Genomic DNA, 27,999 nt, shown 5'->3' on the forward strand with positions numbered 1-27,999 from the left:
GCCGGGCTGGTCTCCAACTCCTGACCTCAAGTGATCCGCCCGCCTGGGCCTCTCAAAGTGCTGGGATAACAGGCCTGAGCCACGGCATCCGTCCTCAGAATCTTGTACAGCAAACGGGATACTTAGAATTTCCTTCCGCTGGGGAATGAGTAGCTGTAAGTTAGTTATCTTCACCTGTCCACTTGACTGTCTGACCTGGTGCAGTAACAGTTCAGAGTCAAAGGATACTTCTGCTTTGCGTTTTGGCACGCTCAGCAAGAATATGCAAGGAATCAGATTCATGGTAGACTGTTTTCTAAAAAATAATAGACATTTTTAACACAAATTTTGAAGTAAATTTCTTCAAGTTAAACATGTATTCCAGAGTCGGAGGAAAGACCCACTTTGGAGACATTCTTTCAGAATTCTCTTCAAAGGCCCTTTTATTTGCTTTTTCCGGGAGCAGTGATGCATTTCTTAAAGAAGCCTTGATACTTAGTCGTCTTTGAACTTCAGGAGCGTTTTCAAAGGCAAGAGAAGCTGGTTTTCAGGAATTTGATTCATAATGCAAAATGTGTAATATATCTGAATACAGGAGTGTGAAAACATAGTACTTAAATATTTGTGTGAACATTTTACTGTATCTATGTGGGTTTTCAAAGGCCATATTTGAAAGGTGATTATAAAATAGCACATAAGTATTATACATGAGGCACCATGAGGCAGAAACCAAATAAAGTAGGTTTTCTATATACTCAAGCACCTTGCAGTCTAAAAAGGAACATAAAGTAAAACAAAATTATGCAGATTAGCAGGGGAGATAGAGATACACCCAATTAATTGCAGGGATAAACTAAACTCATAACTAATCAAAGTGGCAGAAGGATTAAATGGTATTCTTTGATTTCAGAAGCCTAGTCTACATTATGATATTTTTGGAAATAAGTCTTTTTTGCACCATTAAATAGCATTTTTGATAGTGTAATTATCATGCCTGCATGAGTATTAGAGCTTTCAAATACACTATTTTTATTTTTGCTCTTCTTGCAGTGTTATATGAGAATGACATAATACTTAGTTTTATAACAGAAATGTAAGTGGTAAGGAATTTTTCCCCCATTCTGCTTCAACAGAAACATGTTTTATATGGACATTTTAAAGTTTTAGAATCTAAATGCAATCCTCATTCTTATAACATTGGTTAAAAAATAAAATAAAAGATCATCATTAAGAGCAATTTGTGCAAGAAACTAAGGTTTGAATTTCAATGGCCCATCCTCATATAAATTCTATTTTGGATTCCTAGGTCTCATCGATTTGTTGTGATATTACATATAAATGAAAATACCAAATGTCTTTTGCTTTGTCAGTGAAAAAGTAGTTTGGGCTTAATAAATGGTCCAGTGATGTCTATTTGGAAGCTTCATGACATATTAAAGCAGTTGATGAGGAACATTTGTTGTGGGGTCACGTCTGATTGATGGTTTACTACCTAGCACAGCCTCATCTGCTGTGGTATTCCCATAAGAAATGTTCATTGCTAGACAGTGCTAAATGTGCTCTATCTAAATCATTCATTACTTATAACAAGTTTTAGTATATATATGAATCAAATGTTGTTTATAGTTGCCTTCAACAGGATTTATCATTTTGAAGCTTTTCTACCACTTCGAATGGAATAACTAAGATATAGATTTTTTAATAAGTGTTTTGAGCCCATGGCGGTAATGTACCAAGAATTCAATAACAAAGTAAATATTAAGCAAGTTTTCTAAGATTAAAGTTAGAATGTAGTTTTGTAACTTTTTTTCTGTTTCTAAATACAAACAATTGTATATTTTTATAGTATGGGGTGTTGGCAAAATCATTAAAATAAAGGGCAATTTTAAGATATTTAGCATTCATAAATATCACATGAGGCACACCTTGCTTCCAGCAATTAGGAATAACTTATTTTTTATATATAACAATTCCAGTTTATCGTCTGAAACTGCCTTTTAATTACAAGCTTCTTTTTTTATATGTAACCTGTTCTCATTCCCATTAAATCTAATCTTCATTCGTTTCATTTTCTTTCTCAGTGTCTTTCACTCTATTTGGCTCTTATTTCCTTTATGCCTCTAGATTCCTCTGTTTGGTTTTAACGACATAATTTGACATTCTCAACCCATGGCCAATGCTCAGTAATATCCGGGCATCTTTGCAGTCTACATCACAGCTCCTTCTGAAATCCCAAATTTAGGGAAACATTAATATTTGTTATTGTTCTATTTTAAGTAATATTTGAATTTTTTTTTTTTTTTCGAGACGTAATCTCACTCTGTCGCCCAGGCCTGGAGTTCACGATCTCAACTCACTGCAACTTCTGCCACCCAGGTTCAAGCAATTCTCCTGTCTCAGCCTCCCAAGTAGCTGGGACTACAGGCGCCCACCACTACGCCTGGCTAGTTTTTGTATTTTTAGTAGAGACGGAGTTTCACTATATCGGTCAGGCTGTTCTCGAACTCCTGACCTCAGGTGATCCGCCCAGCTCGACCTCCCAAAATGCTGGGATTACAGGAGTGAGCCACTGCGCCCGCCCTAATATATGGATTATTTAAACTAATAGAAGATTTGTTGTCATGTGTGTATTACCTGAACCAGGAAAACATTTGAGATTATATTAATGACTACAAAAATAAAAAATAGGAATCATAGATTGTATATTTTGAATACATTTCCATTGTGAATGGCAAGGCTAGAAGTCACTTTTGTGTTTCCATGATTGGAGACATTTTGAGACAAATGTTTCCTTTGTCCTGTATCAAAAGTTATGGGAAGAGGGATCATGGTTTCAGTTAGAAAAAGAGCCTGTGAATAATATTGTATAACACCAATTTGCTTTATGTTTTCTTCAAGTTGTGTATGTGAAGCAAGGTGTTTTAGGGCCAAATTTAGTACCCTTTCACATATGTTCATGTATTTTCAGCAAAGTAACATTTAAAATGTCAATATAATTTCGTCAAAAATTTTTGTTATTTGACTAATGATGCAAAAGTTTGAGGGAACATTATTAAAAATTTTAAATGTGTTTTCCATCTTACAGTTTCAAACTCGTAGATTCAAGTTAATCATATTTTCCATTTAGTCCCTCTGGGATTTATCTCTGCATAAAACCTAAGAAATATATTCTTAATTTTCTTTCTTCATAGACAATATAATCTTGATAGGTGAAAGCTGTTTACACATTTCTGAAACCATTTCACATTAATTTGAACTTCAAATGGAAATTGACAGGAAAATCTTTACCCTCTAGCCAAAGAGAGTAATTTAATACTTTCCACCTCTGTGGCCACATAAAAATAATTTTTTTTTCCTTCAAAATATATTTAGTGCATTCCAGATGATTCATCCATAATTAACACAATAAAACTTTACACTGGATATCAAAGTAAGTTATGTAATAGAATAAAGTTATGAGCCATGTAGGGAATTGTGTGTGTTTTTTGTTATATAACACAACAATTTTTCACCTTCAGTGCACATTCAAATTACTTAGAGGACTTGTTAAAACAAATTGATGAACCCCCCTTCCTAGCGGTTTTGATTCAGTAGGTCTGGGGTGACACCCAAGAATTTGCTTCTGTAACAAGTTTGCAGGTAATGCTGTTGCTGCAGGCCCTGGAGCCACACCTTGAGAACGCCTAGTATATGTAAACTGGTCTTCAGTGTCAGAAGAGTGTCATTTAAAATCATGGCGTTACCACATAACAGCCCTGTGACCTTGGATAGCTTACATAACCTCTCTAAAAGCTGTGTCTTGAAGTTCGTAAATTGGAAAAATCATGCTACCTGCCCGAGAAGGTTGTTGTGATCATTGAGATAATGTATCTAAAATGCCTAAGACAGTGTCCAGTACATATTAGCTGTGCAGTGATTCTTGACTCTCTTTCCCTTCTGCAAGTGTACGCAGCGTAAAGTCATGATTCTCACTGAATAGATGAGCTGAGCAATATGTCTTGCATTTCCATTTGTCTAGCTCTCAGTAAATTAAGAAAAAATACATAGTTATGTATGACATATTCCAGATAATCCTTGATAATCTAATACTCATCAGATAATTGCTCTACTTGATGGAAATTTCTTAATAAAAAGATGTGGTTGCTGATCTTAAGGAGCCTCAATGATTGCTATAAAGAGTTGTTTATAAAAAGCATTCAACCAGAATGGCACTTTTGTTCTTCAGGTTTTAGTCAAAAGTTTCTCCCTCAAAAAGGAATTCTTCTCCACTAACCACGCAAGCAAAAGAAGCCTAGCTTCATAGTATTCCATGGTGTATATGTGCCACATTTTCTTAATCCAGTCTGTCATTGTTGGACATTTGGGTTGGTTCCAAGTCTTTGCTATTGTGAGTAGTGCCGCAATAAACATACTAAAAATGATGGTTCATGTCCTTTGTAGGGACATGGATGAAGCTGGAAACCATCATTCTCAGCAAACTATCGCAAGGACAAAAAACCAAGCACCGCATGTTCTTACTCATAGGTGGGAATTGAACAATGGGAACCCTTGGACACGGGATGGGGAACATCACACACTGGGGCCTCTTGTGGGGTGAGGGGAGCAGGAAGGGATAGCATTAGGAGATATACCTAATGTAAATGATGAGTTAATTGGTGCAGCACACCAGCATGGCACATGTATACGTATGTAACAAACCTGCACGTTGTGCACATGTACCCTAGAACTTAAAGTATAATAAAAAAATATATATATATACATATAAAAGAAGCCTAGCTTCACCACCCATATCATCATTATTATCATTGCCTGAAAACTATTTTACATCAGTTATCTTGTTTAATCATTTTTTATTGTTTTTTTCACTAGTATTTATGTGTTAGAGAGAAAGGAGCTGGTCTTGCGTATTTATCACAGCATCCCCCACCTCCAGAAATGCTTGGGATGTAGAAGTTGGTGAATGTATATTTGTTGAACAAATTAATGAATATGAGTGTACTTAGAGAAATCTGCTTGGATTTTACAGGGGAGGAAGCATTTAAACTGAGCACCCAGTGAGAGAAAGACATCTCAAGTTGAAGAAAACACTAAATGTTAGGGCATTGAGAGGACAGTAGAATGCCATTTTTCTAGTGATCTACAAGCAGCTTGGCTTTTCTTTTTTTAAGAGATTGAAAGGGAAGCGGGAGCAAGAGTCACATAGGCATAACAGGAAGAATGTATCAATCCGTGCCCAATGGAGATCAACACAAGAATTTTACCCAGTAAAGGAGAACTATCAGTGGACATCTAAGTGTCGGTGTTTCTCCTAACTATAGGATCATTGAACTAAACAGAATGTGTTAAGTATAGCATTTAGACAGCTCACTGATTCTCAAGGTAGAGAAGCAGACCTGGTAATCCTTTGGGACTATTAGAAAAATTAATGATTTAGTAAAGAAAGGAGTTACCTGAGGAAGAGGCACACTATAATTTTAAAAGGCTAATATTTCTAATTCTGAAAATAATTTGATTATTACTCCTTGGGATTTATTTTGAACATTTAATCTTAAACAAGAACATAAAAAATACTGTTGATACTTCAAATGCTTTTTTTCATCTATTTTTTTTCTGTGACTTTGCTTTAAAAAAAAATTTTTTTTGTTTTTGTAGAGACAGGGTCTTGAAATGTTGCCCAAGCTAGTCTCAAACTCCTGGACTCAAGTACTCTCAACTCTACCTCCAAAAGTTCTGGGATTGCAGGCATGAGCCACCACATCCAAACTTTTCTGTTTTGTTTTTTTTTTTTTTTTTTTTTTTGAGACAGAGTCTCTCTGGTGCCCAGGCTGGAGTGCAGTGGCGCGATCTCTGCTCACGGCAACCTCCACTCCTGGGTCCAAGCAATTCTCCTGCCTCAGCCTCCCAAGTAGCTGGGATTACAGGTGTGTGCCACCACGCCTGGTTAATTTTTGTATTTTTGGTTAGAGACGGGGTTTTACCATGTTGGCCAGGCTGGTCTTGAACTCCTGACCTCAAGTGATCTGCCCACCTTGGCCTCCCAAAGTGCTGGGATTACAGGAGTGAGCCACCACACCCAGCCTTCTGTGTATTTTTATATTTGAAATGATATAAAATTAATTTACATGCTGGTTTTCATTTTAATTATAAAAAATATATTCCCATCATCATCAAAGCCATAACTTTTTTTTTTTTTGAGACGGAGTCTCGCTCTGTCGCCCAGGCTGGAGTGCAGGGGCGCGATCTCGGCTCACTGCAAGCTCCACCTCCCGGGTTCACGCCATTCTCCTGCCTCAGCCTCCCGAGCAGCTGGGACTACAGGCGCCGCCACCACGCCCAGCTAATTTTTTGTATTTTTAGTAGAGACAGGGTTTCACCGTGTTAGCCAGGATGGTCTCGATCTCCTGACCTTGTGATCCGCCCGCCTCGTCCTCCCAAAGTGTTGGGATTACAGGTGTGAGCCACCGCGCCCGGCCTAAAGCCATAACTTTTAATGACTGCATTCTGCTCCATTTTATGGGGACATTACAATTTACTTAAATATTTTTCTCTTGAATACTCAGATAGCTTACCATGTAAACATAGGTTATATTCAGATTGTTAGCTAGAAGACTACTTGTGTGTAAGCAAGACACCAAAAGTAGTGGCTTAAATAAATAGATACGTATTTCTCTCATGAAAAAGATTGAACTAGCATTTGCCTGTATTCTTGAAGCTGTCATAGGCTCTTTCTGTGTTATTGATATACAGTGACCTAAAATCTTGTTCTCATTGACCTGGTTCCAAAATGGTCCATGATAACTTGAGATCACTGTATGTACGTAGCAAGAAGAAAAAAAGGAAAAGAAAATCACTTTGCCAATGGCTTACTGCAGAAATTATGCATAACGGTTTCATTCATTTTCTATAAGACTTAGTCATGCTACTCTAGTAAGGGAAGTAGGGAAACACAGCTTCTTTTTGAGGTGATTCTGTGCCCAGCTAAATGTTATCACTATAAAGGAATAAGAAAATGGGTAGTGGTGGATAAATGGCAGTCTCTGCTATGCCTAGTCAAGTTTCTCATTCCAACAATGTCCCTTTTATGGAGATTATCTTGGGAAACCACTAAATTTGAGGCATGATTAAATTTCCTTTTGAAGAATACTGCAGTGGCCTAATTCACAATGTTTCTGCTACTTTCTTTAAATTATATGCTTTCAAATATTCACTAAATACTTCATTAATTACTTGATTTGTGAAAAGCTCAAAGAATGACGTAACATTTAAGTCATCCTCTGGTCTGTGGCATTGTTTATTTTAGGCCATTTTGAGAGTTAATGGCTAATTTATTTTAAAATAATCATCATATAAAAACATAAATACATTATCCATCTATAAATATATCATATAAATACATTCGAAAGATTTTTTCGTAAGAGCATTTAACAGGAAGCTGGATATCTAATAAGATTTTGTTTTATGAACTACTTTAAGTATATATTTAATTGTCAATTAGGTAAAATATGATTCTAATTCCCAAAATTAATGTTTGCAGTTATGAATTTTTAAAATAGATTCTGAAAAATGTTATTGGGTATTTAAAAAAAACCCACAATCTCTATTTTCTGGGGCTTTGTAGAGAAAAAAAGATAAAATTGTGTCCAGCAAGTTTGATTACAGTTATCCATTTAAAAACTGAGCAACAGAGACACATTTTTCCTTCTAGTGGGATCCTGTCTGATTTTCAAGCTGTAAAAGTTGATCTTTCATTATTAAACATTTGTCATTTTCATGGCCAAAATTGTTCATCTTCCCTAATCAAAGCTCCCTTGGCCCACTGCAAATTATCAGTGAGATGAGCAGCAGAAACTCAAGTGACATAGAAAATAACAGCTCTGTATACACTAGAAAATACTAAAAACTCTCCCCTGCTGTAATAATACGTAAACACTATTGGTATTATCTTTAACTCAATTGTTAGGTCCACTTAGGTAAAATACATGGGTTGAAGATTAAAGTGAAAAGAGTTAATAGATAGGAATTAATATTTCCTTTCAGTGCTGACAGAAAATTTACCTTTGCTAACAAAACCATTTTATTTTCTCTTATTTGGTTACGGCTTGCTTGGCCATTACAGGATTGTATCTATTTTGTAAAATTTCCCCAGAACTAGGAAAAGCCTCAACACATATCACTTACCTAGTAAGTCATAGCCATCATAATTATGACATGGAAGAAGAGAAAGGAGTCAGGGAACAAAATGAAAAAGAGAACTAGCAATAAAGGAACTGAAGAATAGAGGTGTGAAAGAAAATCTGATACTTATTTCTTTATGCGCAATGATATTCTGAGTAGTTTCAATTCAATTGTTTATTACGTATACAGCAAGAATGAAATTGGGATTTGAACTTGCCTTATTCACCTCAATAGTTGTCTATTGTCATTATGTATAATTCTATTGTTAATAAAACCCAACGTTCAAAAGTAATAAAATTGATGAGGTTTTGGGCTCCACCATAGGAGATTTATTTTTGATTTATTATTGAAACCCCCGTGGTAAAACTAGAAATAGAACTTTAATATTAGCAGAAGACTGAACTTGTTGTTCTGTGATTACATACTCTGGCTTTCCCTCCCACACTGTGATGATGGTTACAATTCATTTCATGGTACCTCAAGAGAAATATTTGACATAGGGGGAAAAAGTGCCTAATAGCTTCTAGTACATGTATTTGAGACTTTAAGTACATAGCTATAAGGAATTTAGTTTCCTTCTCAGCCTATTAGTAAACTTTACATACCCAACTTTACATACCCACTGGATCAAATGGAGTGTGAGTTCTTGTCTCTTTCCCCTTCTCACATGTTTCTACCAAGCTGACCTGAATATCTTTCTATACCCCTGCAATAAGGTACGTTGAAGTTTTAACTTTATCTCCAAGTTCCTTCTTTTACTTGCTCACTTAAGTGATCACACTTACTTTGGTTAGTCATATAGCAATTTGATGACTAAAAATAGATTTTCAGGCTCATACCTGATATCCCAGCATTTAGGGAGGTCAAGGTGAGAGGTTTGCTTAAGGTCACAAATTCAAGACCAGCCTGGGCGTCATAAGAATACACTGACTCTTAAAAAAAAAAATTAGCCAGACATAGTGGTGCATGCCTGTAGTACTATCTACTTGGGAGGCTGGTCAGCAGGAAGGATCATTTGAGCCCAGGAGTTTGAGGTTACATTGAGCTATGATTGCCCCAGTATGCCCCAGCCTGGGAGAGTGACAGAGCAAGATCATGCTTCTTTTTTAAAAATTATATATATAATGCTTATTAATTATAAATTAATATTATATAGAAATTATGTATAATTATTTTTATTAATCAAATTTATTTTGTTATATATTTGATTAATAAACATAATGAAATTGACAATGAAGTTGAACCACTGTGTCTTTCTAAAATCTGGATGAATGAAATCAAATTTAAGAAAATATTTTAGAAAGATTCCAAGACAAACTGATCAAAACAGAGCTTTTGATGTTAGAGCTTTTGAATGTCTTAAGGATGCCTTCATGACTTAAATCTGAAAAACTGTTGAAGTTTTGTAAAATCTAACTGTGCAAATAAATGTCTAAAAGCAAATTTTGCATTTCAATGTGTTATTACTACTTGATATTTCTTAGTCCATCAATGATATTTTTAAATGTAAAACACTTCTATTTATGACATTTTATATGTCCTTTAAACTTATCTAAATATTTCACTTCAGTTTGCCTTTTTAGAGCTTTTCTGGATTTTTATGATCTGAATGGCATATTTTCAAAATATTGTATTTGATAAAAAAGTGAAGAGTAAACACTGATGCACCTGATTGTGTGTACTTGTAAATACAGCTTCCTAGGCAATAGATTAGATTTAGATGTTGTGTCTCAAATATTTGCTGCAAGGTTTCATTTTACCCACAAAATGCATTCAGATTTTGAAACGCATGCTTTAGTGGAATATAAATAATATAAAGCAATAAGGTATATATAGCAATAAGATATATTGGAAACCATATACTGTTTCTAGATATGTCACCTGTTTTGGACAGTGGCATATGAGATTATGTTATGAGGACAAAAGATTGACCTGGGAGTTTATCTTTCTCTTTCAAGAACTCTGAACATGGGCGAGACACCTGCCCTCTATGTGTTAATTTCCTCTTCCATATGGTATGCATGTTAAGTTTACTCATCATGATTATTCTCCTTAGCAAATTGGAATCTGCGTCATTTTTATTTGAACAGCAATTCCAGATCACTCACAGACACCAAGAGTATAGTAAACGCATGCTGTGTGCAGCACCACTTTGAATATGAGTTTGATTTGGGGCTTATCACATTTCCTTATTTGGGTGTATATTGTTATTAATCGTTACAATAATTCATATGTTTATATCTCCAAGTTTATTAATTTGTAGGAAATTAAAATCTTGTAATGTTTGTGTCTGTAACACAAATATTAACATATATATGTGTAATTCTTCCATAAGTGCCTGTCTTACTACATATAATCTGGGGGAATTTTTCAAAGTTTAGCATAGAGCTATTAATTCATCTTTACTATAATCATCGACTATTTAATACCACCAAAATTCCCCTGGTACCACCAAAGTCTATTGCATAAACTACTAGCTACAAATCCTAACAAAAATGAACCAATTGCAAAAAAAAAAAACTTAGAAAATTAAGATTATATATCAAAATATAATTACGTAATAAGAAGCTAGTTAATTGCACAACACTGACTGTGATTTTACTAGTAGAGCAGGAACACTTGAAAAATACAAAGATGAGTTAAAAGCAATTGCATATTATTCTAACAAAAAAATTCATGCTGGCAAGCTGTCCTTTTGGTCTCCCTCAGCCTTCAGTCAATTTCATTTATCTTCCAAGTTACCTTAACCTTGTGGGATAGAACAGTATCCAACATTTCACCTCCTTGACCATGTTCAAGAAAGCTTGTTTGTCTTGGGCATAATATTTTAGCCAATCCTGGATGCCAGTCTATCACTCTAACTGATATATTTCTAACCAGAATAATATGAGTATAAAAATATAAGTAATGTGAAGTCTACAGTACTGAAGCCCTGAATGGATTTATACTGCTTTACAGCATATGTGATTTAAAGCTAATGGTGTATCTCAACATTTTATAAGCATTTAACTTTTGCAGAAATCACATTCTAGGTCACAAAGCATATTATGATTTTAAAATATTATATAGCTTCCCATTTTTGGAAGGGCATTTGTTTAATGGTTGGGAGAGCCCGGCAAGTTGTCATTCATTGAAAATGATTCTTACCTTTAGCTGATGGATAAATAAGATGTCAATGCTGCAAATAAAATGAACTTTTTTTAGTTCTAAAAAAATGCATTGCTCATGTTCCAAGCACTAAGAAAGTAACCATCAGAGTTCTTATATTCTGCCACAAGAATTATAATATGTTAGTAATTAGCATGCGGAAATATCTTAATAAAAATTCTTCAGGATAAGTCTGCCATTTGGGAACTGACAGTAAAATAAAGGCAAAAATGTAATGAATTTATCTCATTTGTTTTGTGAATCTTGTAGGAGTGTTCTGTCTCCTTAAAGATCATTACCTGTTCTTCAGCTGGTACAGCTATATTTTCTAAAGGTCAGAATCAGTGTAATATTAGTTCATTTTCCCCTTCAATTAAACAAATTATTTGTGATATATGAGGAAATTTGTTATCAGATTTAACTTGTCAGAAATGCTACCATAACAATATTAGACTAACTACTGTAAGGAAAAAAAGAATAAACACAAAACTTCAAATCTCAGAGACTTACCTGCTCACATCACCTTCTAAAGGTCTCTTTCCTGCAGCGATACAGGTTCCTTGGTCTCTTTCCTGCAGTGATACAGGTTCCTTTTCTCTAATGCCTCTGCTGTCCCCTACTACGGGTCCAATCCAGCCCACAGCTTGTTTCGTATGGCCCCAGAACTAAGAATGCTTTTCGCTTTTTTAAAGCGTAAAAAAAAAAAAAAAAAAAAAAGGAAAAATATGTGTTTGAAGAATTACGTGTCTTGCAAATGTATAATATTTACTATCTCTTTACAAAAAAAAAAAAAAGATGTGTTGATATTTTCCCTTGTGCTGTGGACTGTTCAACTGGATCATTTACATTAGGCCAACTGATTTGAGAAGAGAGAAAATGCTTGGGAAATTCACTGGAAATTTCCATAGCCCTGCAGATTGTGTCTGTACTTTTTCCAATATTCTGTTGGTCAGAATCAGTCACTTTGACATACCTAACCAAAAAGGAAGCTGGGAAACATAGTTGTGTTGGATGCTTAAGAGCAAAAGGAAAATGGCTTAAAAAATAACTATTAGCTGCCATGTTTAAAATGGGACGTAAAAAAAGTGAACACTTGCAACAGATGATGTAGCACTATATTTTGTAAGAGTATTTTCTGAATGAATCTTTCACTATGGTGGAGACTTCTAGCATATGTTTCCTCTTTTTCCAATTATCCAGGTGAATAACAATTTCCTATCCACTTATAGTTAGGGGCGTATAACATAAAACAATACTTTGGTATAAAATTTGGAAAGCTGTCTTTGAAAATATTCCACAATGTTATGAAACAGTGTTTACAGACAATAAAGTAGAGGATTGTTTCTTTCCTGGTAGACAATCTAATTAGGTCAACATGTTGACTGTTGGTCCCCATGAACTTCCCTCAAATCTTGTGATTCTGCCTGTGAGATCCTCACAATTCCTTTAACAGGCTCTGTCTCTGTTACCATCCCAACTCATCTCCAAAACTTTCATGAACTATGAAGAGTCTTAGATTTTACCCATCTTGCAAACTAACAAGTAAGCCTGTCATGATTTCATGGATCCTCAGAGAAGACACGTGACTCTCAGGTGAGAGACATAGATCTTTGTTACTCCCAGCACAGCAAACATCATCAACATACACATGCCTGAGTGTTTCAATCCCCCTTGAACCCAAGTCTTATAGAAGCAACACAGATGAGCCCAGATGAATGACTGCACAGAGTGGGTGCCACTTCAGGAGAACTATGAGTGTAGGGAACCCAACTTTTTTATGAATGGTAGTAAGCATGCCTGCTCTTAGCTCTGGGAGGAAATCGGCTATAAGCAAATCTACCTTTTGCTCTGGATGGATACACTATCTCTATCTTCCAAGGCTGTTCAACCTGTATATATCCTTACAAATATATCCTATAACAAAGGGCAATTATATGCTAGCCATGCTAGCAAGACAGAGAAAAAAATCACTAGAGTATGGTAGGGAATTTTTTACAGAATTATTGTCATTGGACTACTGTATTTTCAAAATATATCTGGTACATGTACAGATTTATATTAGAGGCCCACTTAATAGTAGGTATAGATAGATTAATTAAAATCTATACCCACTGTTTATAGGGAAAAAAACTGAATGAAATCATCATTTCTATTAGTGACACAGTTGTTTGAATGGCCAATTTTATGTAACTACAGAATGATGCAATTTCATTAAAATTGATTATTATATAGTTATAACATGTAAGTAGCTTGTTTGCATTATAAATGTTGATAGTTGTGATTCAAATTTTATTGAATGGTAATCAAATGTTCCAAAGACAAGAACACATAGGTCTTTCTCGGTAAATATAATTTCTATTCAATTACCAGAAACTCTTCTCTAGTTCAGAAATCTAACTTGTGAATTGTTCAAGGTGGAATTCAGCTAATATTACAAACCTCTACGTATGGTGTGGTATATTTATTGAATAAAACTCTCACAGACCAAATAATCTCTATTAGTACTCTCTATCCAAGAAGAACCAAAGTGAAAACAACCTATATACTGTGTTGTAAGCATAATTCTTCCATTTTTGTTTGCCCTAAGTGATAAAAATTCCTGATGTCTTCATCTGTAGCATGATTTTCCTAGCTGAGTTTAGTGTGGAATTCAATATATGTCTAATAAATGAATGACTGGTAACACACAGGTGTCTATCTGCATAAGGTGATTTATCTGAGGAATGAAGTCCTTCTAGAATGAAGTTTTGCACATGAGAACTTATCGAATATAACCTATAAATCAGAGGGAAAGAGAGAAATGCTCTCAGGTTAGTGCAAACGTAACTGCGGTTTTTGCCATTGAAACTAATGGTAAAAACCGCAATTACGTTTGCACCAACCTAATATAAATATTGGCATGTTTATTGTTAGAGAGGTGTTTAAGTGACAAAGCAAGACATAAATCAGGAAATGGTATCATGCAGTATTGGTGTGGTGAGATTTTGGCCTTAGAAGTCGAATGCAACCATGAGGAAACTGCTGTGCCCAGCAGTATAGTAGAAAATCTGCAGAAATGAATTTATTTTTTGAGCACAAATGAGACAGCCCTTGTAGCCTCCAAAGATATTTGGTGAGGATTTAATTTGGTGCCACTTATTCTAGTAAATCAGAATGCAAAATCTGATTCATTACTTCTATTTTGATCTTGATGTGTCCAAAGATTTTATAAACCTGAGTAAATTTGGTTTGTACTAAAAGCATTTTGATATACCTTGAATCTATCTTTAAAGTGGGGCTGTTTTTCCCCATTCCTTTCCAGCTCTTCTTTTCTCTTTGTATAAAAGTATGTCAATGAATTCTATTAAGTTTAAGCTATTATGACAGTAAATTCTTAAACTTTAAAAAAATAATTTCTACTTAATCTTTTATAATAATCATGTTGGAAGATAATTTATTTGTTTGAGTTAAAACAATTGAATGTAAGAAAAGAGTCTGTTAAAAATTGATAGACTGATAGCCTGGATTACGTTTTGCTATTCAAGGGTATTTACACTTCAGGTTTTTACAATGCAACCTAATTTTGCAAATATTTATTAACACAACTATACAAAAGTGTGATATGCATATCTTCAGATAACTGATGACATGATTCTGTCTGCTTAAAGTATGAGAAAAAATTTCATGAAGACTTTAAAGGTATTGGTGAAATTCTACTTTTTTCAAATCTACTAGTTATTTTGGTCATCAGAACTCTTTGATCAAGGGAATGTTCTTTAAGCTATATTTTCAAAGATTAAAAGTCAAGGAACTCCAAAACTCAGAAGTCGGGATAGGAGTTATTTGTAGTAGTCTATGTGAAACGTGGACCTATTTCAGAAAAGGCTCTATTACTTGGTCACTAATGAAATAGCAGAAATGATGGATAAAAAGAAGAGGAACAAATGTCTTACAGGTTTAAGCCTAAAGACAGAAATTAATCTAGTGGATTTGGTTTAGGAAATTATATGTTCTGTTTTGAATAGGTCGATCTGGGTTAAAATGCCCATTATACAGTTAAATATGTGCTGAGAGAAAAACCAGAGTAAAGTCAAGAATTTGGGAAATATCTAGATGTGATAATAACAGTGACTGTGGACAAAATGTATATTTTAGTTTCCATCCAGGGTGTTTAATACACCTTATTATACTTAATCCTCATTAACCCTAAAGCAGTAAGTATTTATCTGTATAAGAAATTGCTCTTTTATGAAGTTAAATAACTTGAGAAGTACTATTCAGTTATTTCTAGACCTGGATTTCAGTTCAGATCTGTATAACTGTGAAGATGGCATGCTCTTAACTCCTGAGCGCCACTGCCTTTTGTGATGATGGTTTAAATTTTGAATATGACAGAAGTCAGAGAGATAATAAGCAAGGTTTTGGAGAGAAAAAAGAAAAGAACTTAGGATACAAGGAGGTGTGTCGGGGAGGAGGTGTCCATATGAATATAAGGCCAAGACAGAAACTGCAGCAGGAACAAAACTCCTGGGTGAATCTCTGGAGACCCAAGTCATGGGAAAGGCCTCTGTGAGGTCCAGGGAAAGCAGGTCTTTTATTTGCACACTTTTTTTTCTGTCGCTCTTTGTAACTAGACTTTTCAAAATAGGTGAGTATGAATGTGAGATGTGTGAGAATGTGTATAAACATGTGCAGGTGTGTTTCAAGAGTAGGCAGGATATCTTTTTTCTTTTCTTTCTTTTTTTTTTTTTTTTTTAAGCACAGGGGAAATATTTTCAACAAGAAAACTATTATTCCTGGTTGAATTATAACAAAACTATTTTTGGCACTGAAATTTTCCTTGGGTTCCCTAGCTGTGATCTGATGAAATGTTTTCCCTGATTTTTTTAACCATAAAATATATCTAAAGAGTAAAATAAATTTGAGCCTTCCTAGTTTTGTAGGAGAAATGAATTTTCAGGTACTGAAAAATTGTCCTGATATTAAAACCCCAAAATAATTTCTTGAGCCTAAGAGACCATCACAGAACATAAAGATGAGGTTTTCAGTCCTCCTGTTTAATATAAATTATTGAATTGCTGAAAGTTTTATTTATGAAATTTCCTTTCATATATTTAATTTTCTGTAACTCTTTGTGATTCAGTTTTATTTGTTATTACCTAAAGCGTACCAAACTCCAAGTTTGTATTGTCAGGTATTTTATTATTTTAAATGTAAAAGTGCTCCTTTAGACAGTCATTTTTTATTCCCAACTGATCTCGGTTTCTCTTTAATCTACTCACCCTGCTCCAGAAGGCAGGCTCTATGGGGGTTCTAAAATGGATCAGGCTTTGTCCTTACAGGCCAGTTAGCTCCGGCTTTGATCACACAAAAGGGAAAGCACTAAAGATCAGCCTTGTCCTTCTGGAAGCTTCCCTCTTGGGACCACTAAAGAAGGCTGTCTTTGTTTCTTTATTTTTCTTTAAGAATTTAATAATCTCTGAGGAAAGGAATGTTAGCTCTCCAAGTTACTAGTACTAACAGTTTTTTATAGTCCATTAAGAGAATTTTTTTTTTTTTTTTGAGACAGAGTCTCGCTCTGTTGCCCAGGCTGGAGTGCAGTGGCGTGATCTTGGCTTACTGCAAGCTCCGCCTGGCAACAACAACAACAAATGTAGGCTACACCTCTTCCTTAGAAAGCATTGACGGTAAGTCTAACATATTCCCTGTATTCACTTTTGAAAACTGAGGTCAAGACTATTTTCAGGGTGGGAGTTTTTGACTTTTAAATTACTTTCTGGTTTTGGTTCCATTAAATATTACTCTTTTGGCCTTCAAAATCATGTCTGATGGCATGTAGTCTACAGTTGCATAATATAGCAGTTAGAAATGTGGGCAATGTCTATTAAAAATACATATTTTATTGTCCAGAGCCACTAGATGACTTAGCAACCATTTCATGTTTCACAGACACACATTCATTCATTCATGTTTTCTCCATTGAGATTTGTCGATAACGTTTTCCAGTCAATCATATTATGAGAATTTAGCCTACATTTTACATCCTTCTAAGGGATCTAAAAAATATGAGCTTTCTCCCATCTCTTCAGCAAAACTTTGCCTGATATACTCACTGAGTGACAACATGAAAGCAAAATAAATTACTCTGTATGCTCCCTGTGTGGCCTCCTGTTATAACAGGGCCACTTTGCATCAATTGAGAATAAAAGCATAATGATATACTCCCTAATGTGAAGATGATGCAGTCTGATAGATATAAGCACAGCTTGAAGAAGGTTATGCCTACATTGGAGCCAAAGGTTCATAGCTTTTGTGGCTGAACACCTAAGGAGAAATACCATTCAGACAAAATAAAAAAAAAATGGATTATGTCTCTTTACGTTTAGCAGTCCTTGCTGGGAATTAGATTTGTTTTGAGTAAAATTACTGGAAGACACACTAGCAGAGTATCAATTTATATTCTGATAAACACTTTTTACTGTATCCACCTTCATATCACCTACTCTGTCCTAAACCCCAAGGCATAGATTCTCCTGCTTTGACCTGAGGATTTATTAGTTAATGCCTTAGGTACAAAAGAACAAACAGCCAAAAAACTGTAATGAGAACATTTTTACTTTAAGGAACAGAATTATTGATTTTATTTATATTGAGTTTAAACAGTTTAGAAAATTTCTGTCAAAATTGTGTGTGATGATGTTAGTGTGTGTGCATTTTTAGGTGTGAATTCTCACTTTCTAATAACAGAAGGTATATATTTAAGTGTTGCAAATTCAAAATAGCTTTATAAATATGATGTAATAATTCAGAGGAGATGAATTATTTGCTTGAAATTTGCCTGTTCTGGTCAAAGCTGCTGCTCTAATCTGAGGCACTAAGTGTGATTTTGTTCTGTTTAACTTATTTATAATCTTATACTTTTTAGAGTTGTGCTTTTGAAACAAAGATGATTCAGCAACCCAGAAAGACAAAAGGGGTGGTCATATTTCACTCTCCCCTGATTCTGTGTAATTACAACCAAGCACAAAAAGGCAACAGAGAAATGGGTCTTTGATTGTGAGAAATACCTGGAAAATAACATTAGTAAATTACTTTGCAGTGTCTGTTGTGAATTTGTATTTTTCCACAAGTGGCCCCAAACATCATACTATATATTAAGCAATCTAATGTTTAAAATAGTATTTATTATATTGTTAATGTGATACAATTGAATGAGGATGTTGGATTGGACTTTCAACTATTCAAGAATGACGGATGAAGTCTAAAGCTAAAAATCCGTCAGTTACCCATATGCTGAAAACTGCTACCTTTGAGGCTTCAAACACTTGCATCGTCTGCCCAAGCACTATCCGCCATCATTCCACAGTCTCACACAGTCAGTATCAGTCTTCAGCATCGTCCGCCCAAGCACTGTCCGCCATCATTCCACTGTCTCACACACAGTCAGTATCAGTCTTCAGCATCATCCGCCCAAGCACTGTCCGCCATCATTCCACAGTCTCCCACAGTCAGTATCAGTCTTCATAAGAAGTCTGGGGAAGAACAAAGATTGGGTTGCATCTTCTGGGGAGGCAAGTAATTGTTGGGAGAGGCAATCTTCCTGACTGGAGATGCTCTGGTAAAGTGGAGGTGGGGCAAATACTGTTTTTGGAAAATTGCTCTTCATTTGCCTTAAATAGGGAAACACTGACCTATGAATTACCATTCCAAAGATATAGGTTAAAGTGCAGAAATTGGCATGACCTCAGCGTCGCCACACAGAAACAAGTGAAGACCTCTACTAATGGAAACATTTAAGAAGAATTAGGCTACTTCTCCTGAAGGCAGCCCTTGGCATCAGCAAAAGCAAGGGTAAAAGTTAAAATTACCCCCAAGAACATCATGGCACAACCTGTGGGTAGCCCATTAGTGCCATGAAAAATTATACTAAATTAGAGACTAAGGTCACATCCCACATCGAGGTACAACCAATTATGTGCTATATCTGCTTCTCCATCTCCCCTTCCTCCTTTCAGCACTGGAGGAATTTATCCACAGAGAAGGTTTGGCAAAGCTCAACTGTTCTTTTCAGCCAAGGCCGTCTAACCACAAATCTAAATTGCCCTGAAGGATGGACAGTGAAGACTGAATTAGCTATATCATTGGACAGTGTTATTATTGAACATGTTCAAAAAGTTATGGAGGCTGGTGAAATGCCATCAAGGAGTGGAAAGGGGAATTTATTATACCATATTTAAAGCAGCTTAAGTCACGGTTGTGTATTTATACCCCAAGGAATTGATTTTCTTCAATAAACCAGTTATACATGGCAACTTTAATCAAATTTCTAGTTCCTAGGGGCCTTCTGGTAATCTTACTGTTTAAGATCTCTGTTCCATTTGTAAGGGGCAGAGCAAGGATTTAAACTCTGCATAAGTGTCTATTCCTTTTGATCAATTGAGCCTAAAGAAAGCCTATGTAACATATTTTTAAAAGATTTTTTTAAAAGTACTTCCTGATTTGTTTATAATTGTGAAAATAAATATCAAAACAAAAAAGCACTAAAATGATAGCATATATAATTGATGGCAAATTATAGTTTGTTTTATATACTCCTATCTCCCAATTTTGTAATAAATAATACTAATAGCAGGCATTAATTAAACATCTATGAAATCTGAGAGACTATTTGAAGTACTTTACATATACTCATTTAGCTTATCACAGCAATCCTAAGACACAAGAAGAACACCATTACCCCCATCTTACTGACTATGAAACTGAGTCCTGGAGAGACATTTTCAAGGCCACACAGTTATTTGTTGACAAAGTCTGAATTTACACTTAGAAAATCTGATTTCAGAAGTGTGAGCTTCAGATTTATTTTTGTGTGTGCTTAAGATATCAAGTTGCATTTACCTGGAAAATGTGCCAAGAACTGGAAAGGGTCTGAGATTTCACGTTACTTGCAAGCTAACAAGTTAGCCTGCCACAGTGTAACGGATGCTGGCAGAAGGCATGAGACTCTTAAGTCAGAAACAAAGGACAGTTATTACTCACAGCAATAGTAGTAGCAGGGCCATCATCATTTTTCTTGTGTCAGTGTTTTTGGGCCCCAATTTCCGCAGGAACACATGGAAAGATTCAGATGACACCTGCATATATGGTGGATTGCGCTACAGAAGAGGAATTCCATGCTTACACTGGACAATAAGCATGCCCGCCCATTGCTCCAGAGGGAGACAGTATCTTTAGCTTCAAAGGCTATGAGCAAACCTGCCCTTTGCTCCAGAGGGAGAGACTATTTCTGTTTTCCAAGGCTGTTCACTATACAAACTTCTTCAAAAGATAGTTTGAAACAAATACCATCAGTACCTTTGCTCACAAACAAGCAGAAATGAGAGAGTATTAAGGACTGTCTCCCAATAAAGCTTTGTACACCCCATTATCAATGGCAAAGTCATGAAAATGTTAGAATTAGTGACACACTTGGGAATGAATTTAGGATTTAAACTTTTCTTCTTGGGATTTTTCATTTTTTGTTTTTTCTACTCACAGTACACTTATGCAATAGGAGATAATTGCTTTGCTTTGTGTCATAAACATGTTAGAACATTTACATCTGTTTTCCATAACTGATATGTCTCCACTTGCTTTTCTTCATCTTTTCAACCCAGAGAGAATATCACATTCTCCTTAGTGCAGATCCAGGCTTAGCACTTTGAAATATATCTTCAGTTGTAATTGCCATTTTCTCTGGTTGAGAAAGTTTATTTCCATTATAACCTACATGATATTTTATAACAAGACTTATACCAAATGTGCTGAGTTTTAACTAGCTTTATGAATTTGAAGTGACTTTCTCTTGCTATTCAATAATGTTCAATATAAATACCAATGTTAAAAATATGATATTTAATATAATCATTAATGACTTGGAGACTGAGAGATACCACAGAAGTCTGAAAGCATTAATTACTTTAATGGGAGCTTATTTTTAATCTTATATATAAAATTTTCTTAAAGTATTGAAAAATTTTTAAAAGACTTACTGTCTACAGCCAAAGAGAAATCAGTAAAGACTTACATGAAACAAGTAGAAACACTAAATAGAATTTGCCATCTCCTTTTTCTGTTTAGTTTTTATAGACATTTTTTCATGAAGACAAACACTGATTATCTGTTATCAGAAGAAGTTAACATTCCTAGTCTGCTCATAAAAGGATCCTGGAAAAAGACAATCGGGACACATAAGCATCTGTCTTGGAAAAATGAGTGAAATTGGTATATATTTTAATTTCAGTATTTTATTATGAATTGGTAGTCATAACTGCTTATAATTGCATTAGCCTTTATGTTTTACTAGATATGTTTTTAAGTTAATTTTTACTAAACATCATGTTCAAGTGAATTTTCCTCAACCCTCTCAATAAAATAATGATATATGTAGTATGATCTCTCTTTTATAGGTAAAAAAATTGAACCACAGAAAGTTTATCATTATGCCAACATCACATGTGGCTGAATAGTAATCATGTAATACATCCCTAAGTCATATGAAAAGAAAAAGGAGAGTAATATTAAAAAGCACAATACTAATAGCAACAGCCCTGAATTCTTACTTTTTTTATGGTGCTGGTAAATAATAATTGTCTATGTTAAAAGTAATGTAAGAGTTATGGAAACTAGTAGACCTTTGAGACTTTTGGGGCAAACAGCTGTCAAACCTAACAGAACATCAGAATCACTAGAGAAACTCTAAAAATAAAAGTATTGGGTTTGTCCATTGGATATTGTGATTTACCACACTTAGAATAGGGGTCCTGAATCCTAATCTGAATATATATTTTTTCAACTCCACAGGGATTCTGATAGAATTTTCCCCATTTCCTGCCTCTACAGTATAATATTTTGGTTAATGAGTGTTTCAACTGAGAACATCAATATTTCATGAGGCTTATGTTTCCATATTATGTCTTTATTGTTTGCCTTGTTCTTATAAATGTATGTATGTATAACCTCACATACATGTAAATATATGAGTTTTTCTTTAATTTACATTTTAGGAAGAGATGACCTGGGTTTAATTTCCACATCTACCTACTATTAACTATGTGACTTTGAGTAAATTACTTAACCTACAATGCTCTCAGTTTCTTCATTTATAAAAGAGGGATATGCTAGCAACCCTATAGTATTGTTGTGAAGGTAAAATCAGAAAATGTAATCAAAGTGTTTGGGACATAGCCGCTGTTCAATTAATGTTAATAACTTTACAATGTCATAACTATCATATTTCATCAAAATATCATATTAATAATCAGATATAAGTTAGTTCTAACACATTCTTATGAGTGTCTTTTTAAATTACACAATAGCTCAATGGTAATGGTTATACAGAACTTATGTGGATGAAGTGTTGTCAACCTAGTAAGCAGAAGTACTTCATTCCCTGTAGACTAATTCCCTCCCCAAGTTGAGAAGAGGTAGTCTTACAAATGTGTACTAATCTCATGATCTCTATTTATAGCCTGGCCAGTGTCTGCAGAATTAAAGAAATGGCTGAGCACCCACACTGGGAAAAAACTACTTCCTCAAGTTGACAAAGTGGCTATGACTAGTTGGAGTGAGGCAAGTCAGGCACATCCCCTCGTTCCTACTGGTTTTCCTCCACAACCCTGCTTCCTCTTCTTGCTTGCTCTCAATTTGTTTCATTCTTTTGTTTCATTGTGGAGTAAAGTCCCAGCTTCAGATTAGATCAAAATTTTGTTCAAATGATTTGAAAACATTTTTATAGCTAGAATAATTATGTGGAGCTACTTATAAAATACTCCAGCCTGATGTTTAATTCCCTAGGCAGATTTGAATGAAAATGAGTTGAACTGGTTTCTTTAGTATAGTATTTGTGACTATTACCTCACTAAAATGACTAAGGACAAAAAAATGGTCCCGAAAACTTGGGTGTTACTCTTGTGTTCATGAATGATTGATGAAGCGGCCTTTATGTGCAGTCTCCTGTGGATTGCAGAACCAGCAACTTTGGTCCTTTATGAGACAGAGTTTTATTAGAGTTCCCCATAAATATCAAGTTATAAATAAACTGTGTCTGGAAAGTGCTTCAACTGAATTCCAGGCTGCTCACTAATTGGCCTACCACAGATGGCTATAACAAAATAACTAACAATTAGATTACCCCATTGTTACAAATTCACTCTGAAAATAGCAAGGCACACGTGGCTTTTGACAAGAGGTTGCAGGAAGAAGGTGTAGAACAACTTGTTAAATATTAATCAAGATTTTAATTCAAGAACAGCCTGGCGTTTCCTCTCCCAAAATACAATTCTAACTTAGCAGTCACCGTCAGCATAGTGATGATTCGTCGGACTTTGCATTGTACACATGGATTAATGCAAATGCACATAAATGCAAACAAGGTTAAAATGGAAAATGCAATGGAAAGATGAAATACTGCTTTGGATCCCTGTTTCACGCAGATGACAGAGGCAGGTCTGTCCTGATATGATCTTTTTAGCCATTTCAATAACTAAATTCTCATGAAGAGAATGAGCGAGAGAGTTTTATGTCATGCTTTATGGTACAATATGGTTTTGTGTAGGCATAAGAACAGTATTTTAAGTGCTAATCATAAGTTGGCAAATATAACTTTAATAACGAAGGAGAAACTTGAGAGAATTCAAGAAATAATACTTAAAAATTAATATCCCATTTCTCTAGTCTGTGGGGTAGAGGTAGTTGTGCTTCATCTATATAAAAGTCTTATTGAGTTCATGTGCAGAATTTAATGAACTACATTGCACATTCAGCCACATCTGCTTTGTTGCCTAACATTTCTCATACTCATTGGGCCTGTTTGGTTCACCTAAGTTAAAATTTAGGCAGACATCAATAGGTGTTAGCAGAAAATGAAGAAGTCTATACCTTCCTTTTTGTTCAGAAATGTTTTTCTCAAACATGGAAATACAAGGCAAAGACCATAGTCTTTGAGACACTACAACCTTCGCAACCTGTTCTTTGAGAACATCACATTGTGTTTATTGGATGGGTTCAGGAGGAGTTCTTTTAAGAAAATATATTTTCTTAGAACTTAGAGAACTCTCTAAACGCACTTCTAATTAACACCTAAATTCTTTCTTTTAGGCGAGACAGAGACTTTCTTTGCATAACAACGTCTGGGGCATTTGCAAATCTCAGCTTGCTTCACGTTTTTAGGGGCTGCAATTCTTGTGACCAGAAATGCATGTGAAAGCAAATTTATTACAGTCGGAGACGAAGAACAGTTAACTAAAAATGATCTCTGATTGAGAATAGCAACATTAGATGTCTGACATCTGTTTCCCTAGTTGTTTTAAAACTCAACATAGACGAAGCATTTTAAATCGTAATGCAAAGCATACTCCCAATTCAAGGCATTCAAAAATTCAGTAGCTTCATTTTACAAGATAACTAATTTTCAAATACACAACTATTAAAATACTTGACAAAAACTGAGCAGTTCATATATGTTAAAATATGCTTTTAAATGTTTTGAATTCCAGCTGTTTCTTTTTCTGTTCTTAGTAAGAAGAAAGTGCCACAACTCTGGATTTCAATACATACATTCGTATAACCTTTTCCTAAATTAAGGAGAACATTTGGGGAACACTTTCACAAGGTTTGAAAGAATAACTTCTACTTTAGATAGAGTAAGTCCTTAACAAAATAAATCTCTTTTGATGGTGTGCTTTTGATTGATTAGGACTTCATTATGTTTTTATAAATTATTATTAAAATGCTAATAGTGAAGATAGTCATTACTATTTATGATTACTTAGAGCCCTCACTTGCTTATTATGCCTGTACAATAATTTATTACTGCTTTGTTTGTGGGAAGTTATATATAAAACCAGTAATATATTAAACCCTAATTTCCATTCTAATATCAAGTGAAAAAAATCATCTGAAGGTGATGAATTTTCGGTGTCACAAATCACTGTCACACATTCTAGGCAAGTGATATTTTTAGAGAGGTTTTGGGAAACGTAATGAAAAAATTATGAAGGAAAAGTCACTTCTTTCATATAGGAAAAACTGCTGGGTATAAGTAGAGGAAAAGAGAAGCCTCAGCACAGATGTCTGTTTACATGTATCATACCTGCCATGGACTTTTTATGAGATTTTTTGTAAATTACTAAACTAAGATGTTTCTCCATTTATTCATTTTAAAAATAAGTTTTATAAATCCAATTTTCCTATTTCACAGAACTGTTAGGACCCAGTGAAATATTTTGTTAAGCATTTGAAAGTTCCATGCATATATCTGGATATGTGTGTATGTGTATGTTTATGTGTATGTGTATGTGTATGTGTGTGTGTGTGTGTATGTATGCATGGGGGTGTTTGTGTTTGCAAGTGATGCTATTATATTCACTCCTTAGGTAAGAAGCGACTTAGTTTCTGTCTTATTTTAAGCAAACCGCCACACATTTTAATCAGTATTAAAATGATAATTGATTACAATTTTTTGGTTTTGACCATGTGGCAGATAATGTATCTTCTGTTTGTTATCAATAGGTAATAGTGAGAATTAAATTAGTTAACATTAGGAAATTGTATGTAGGTTAACAGTGCCTGACAATAGCTAAGAGTTTAGCAATAATTCTATTATTATTATTTCATCTACATATCATTTATTTAGAAAACTAATGCTGTGAAAAAGGTAACAATAATCTTCAGTTTTGGCTGAGGAAGCTGAGACTTGGAAGGTGTGAAGGAAGTATTCTGAAATCAAATTGTGAATATCAGGATGAGAATTGGATGGCAACTGGTTGAGCTATGAGCTCATGGTTCTTAACTGTTACATTCTGCAAATATTCTAACCTATATATTCACTTATTCCTTAAAATTCACGGATAATAAGTATATCTAACACTGAAATTGGAATCATGTTACTTCACTGACAACACCTGCATAGCAATCTGAGATGACTGGATAAATAAAAAATTCTTAAAATAGATGACAGATACATCCATATAAAGAAAGTATCTAGCATTGGCACTTTCCCCAGTCATTAGGTAATATTTAGATGAATTTGGGAGCTACGATTTTTTTGGTGATTTTAAGGATATCCCGTGCAGAAAACATTATTCAGAGGTTTACTTTGGCTTTTGGAATTATTGAATTGAATCTATTAAAGCTACAACAAAGCACACTTGGAGTACAACTATACTTTAGATTGATTCACCCCTTACAGCAGCAGCCTGATGGAAGTGATGGGGAGATACAATGTGTTGGGTGGTTTATAGCATATGGAGAAGTAGAATAGAAGGCCTCAAGAAAACAGAGAAATGAAACAGAATACTTGAAATAAACTATTGTTTATAATGTATAATAATGATATTTAAAGAAATATTTACTTTTCAATTTATAAATATACATGTTTCATCTGAATATTTAATTTGGTTATATATTGCTTTTGAGAACAATACATAAACATGACACAAGAGATTATAGCTAAAATAGAAATGGAAGAGGTCTAATGGAATACTACAAAGCACTTGAGTCATGCAAAAGATAACAGGAAAAGAGAAACAAGTGAGCAAAAAACAGATGGAATCAATAGAATAAAATAAAGTAATACAGCTAAATACAATTATATCAATAATTATGCTAAACAGGGATAGAATTAAGAAAAAAAAGCCAGGTTGAATAAAAAGCAAGATCCAGGTATGTAGTATGTATAGGTAATGAATTCAACTATAAATATATACAGAGGAGAAAGTAAGGGTAGAGAAAGCTATATCATACAAAAGTATAAGAAAGCTGTTGCAGGTATATGAATACTTCAAGCAGAATATCTATTACCAGATTGAGACTTAACAATTATATAAGGGTCAGGTTACCAAAAAAATATAACGATGCTAAGCATATTTTTACCTGATAACAGAACTTCAACTTCACAAAGCCAAAAATTGACAGAAAAAAAGGAAAAAATGGACATATCTACCGTCATAATTGGAGAGTTTCACATACCGTTTTTGTATTTTATAGAACAAATAGACAAAAAAAGCAAATGGTCTAGACTTTATTGACTTTTATTTAATACCCCACTATGCAACTGCAGAAAGTATATTTTTTCAAGATCGTAGAAAACGTTGACCAAGATAGATGATATTCCTACTCATAAAATGTGTTGATAAATTTCAAGAAATTGAAACATACAGAATCTATCTAAATGTGAGTATTAAATTAAAAGTCACATGGCTTCCTTGTTATATTTTTATTTTTAGTTTAAAATAGTATTTACAACCTCAAATTCCTAAGAATAAATTTCAACATGATATCTAAGACTTGTACACTGAGAACTATTTAAAAAAAGGCAGAGAAATGAAAGAATTCTGAAACAAAAAGAGACCTAAATAAATAGTCATGTGTTTGAAGAGACAATATTGTTAAAATACCATGGAATACTACACAGCTGTTTAAAAAAAATGAAATCATGTCCTTTGCAGCAACATGGATGCAGCTGGAGGCCATTATCCTGAGTGAATTAATGCAGGAACAGAAAACCAAATACTGCATGTTCTCACCTATAAGCAGGAGTAAAACACTGAGCACACATGAACACAAAGGCAGGATAAATGAACAAACTGCTGTCCTCATACAATCAAATACTACTCAGCAATACAAAAGAAGTGAGTTACTGGAACATGCAACAATATCGATGAACCTCAAAAATGTAAA

General features: G+C 34.4%; 1 protein-coding gene and 1 long non-coding RNA gene across 30 annotated transcripts in view; both read left to right on the forward strand.

Moving 5' to 3' along the window:
• ROBO2 (roundabout guidance receptor 2) overlaps positions 1 to 27,999 on the forward strand; it is a 1,743,290-nt gene that overhangs the window by 422,749 nt on the left and 1,292,542 nt on the right. The gene's annotated exons all lie outside the window — the stretch shown is intronic.
• Positions 17 to 27,999, forward strand: LOC124900544 (uncharacterized). Its single transcript, XR_007095965.1, has 2 exons — positions 17 to 21,543; positions 22,790 to 27,999. It is a non-coding gene; the product is annotated as an uncharacterized LOC124900544 (long non-coding RNA).

Source organism: Homo sapiens, chromosome 3 (assembly GCF_000001405.40).
Source record: "Homo sapiens chromosome 3, GRCh38.p14 Primary Assembly".
Classification (NCBI taxonomy): Eukaryota; Metazoa; Chordata; class Mammalia; order Primates; family Hominidae; genus Homo; species Homo sapiens.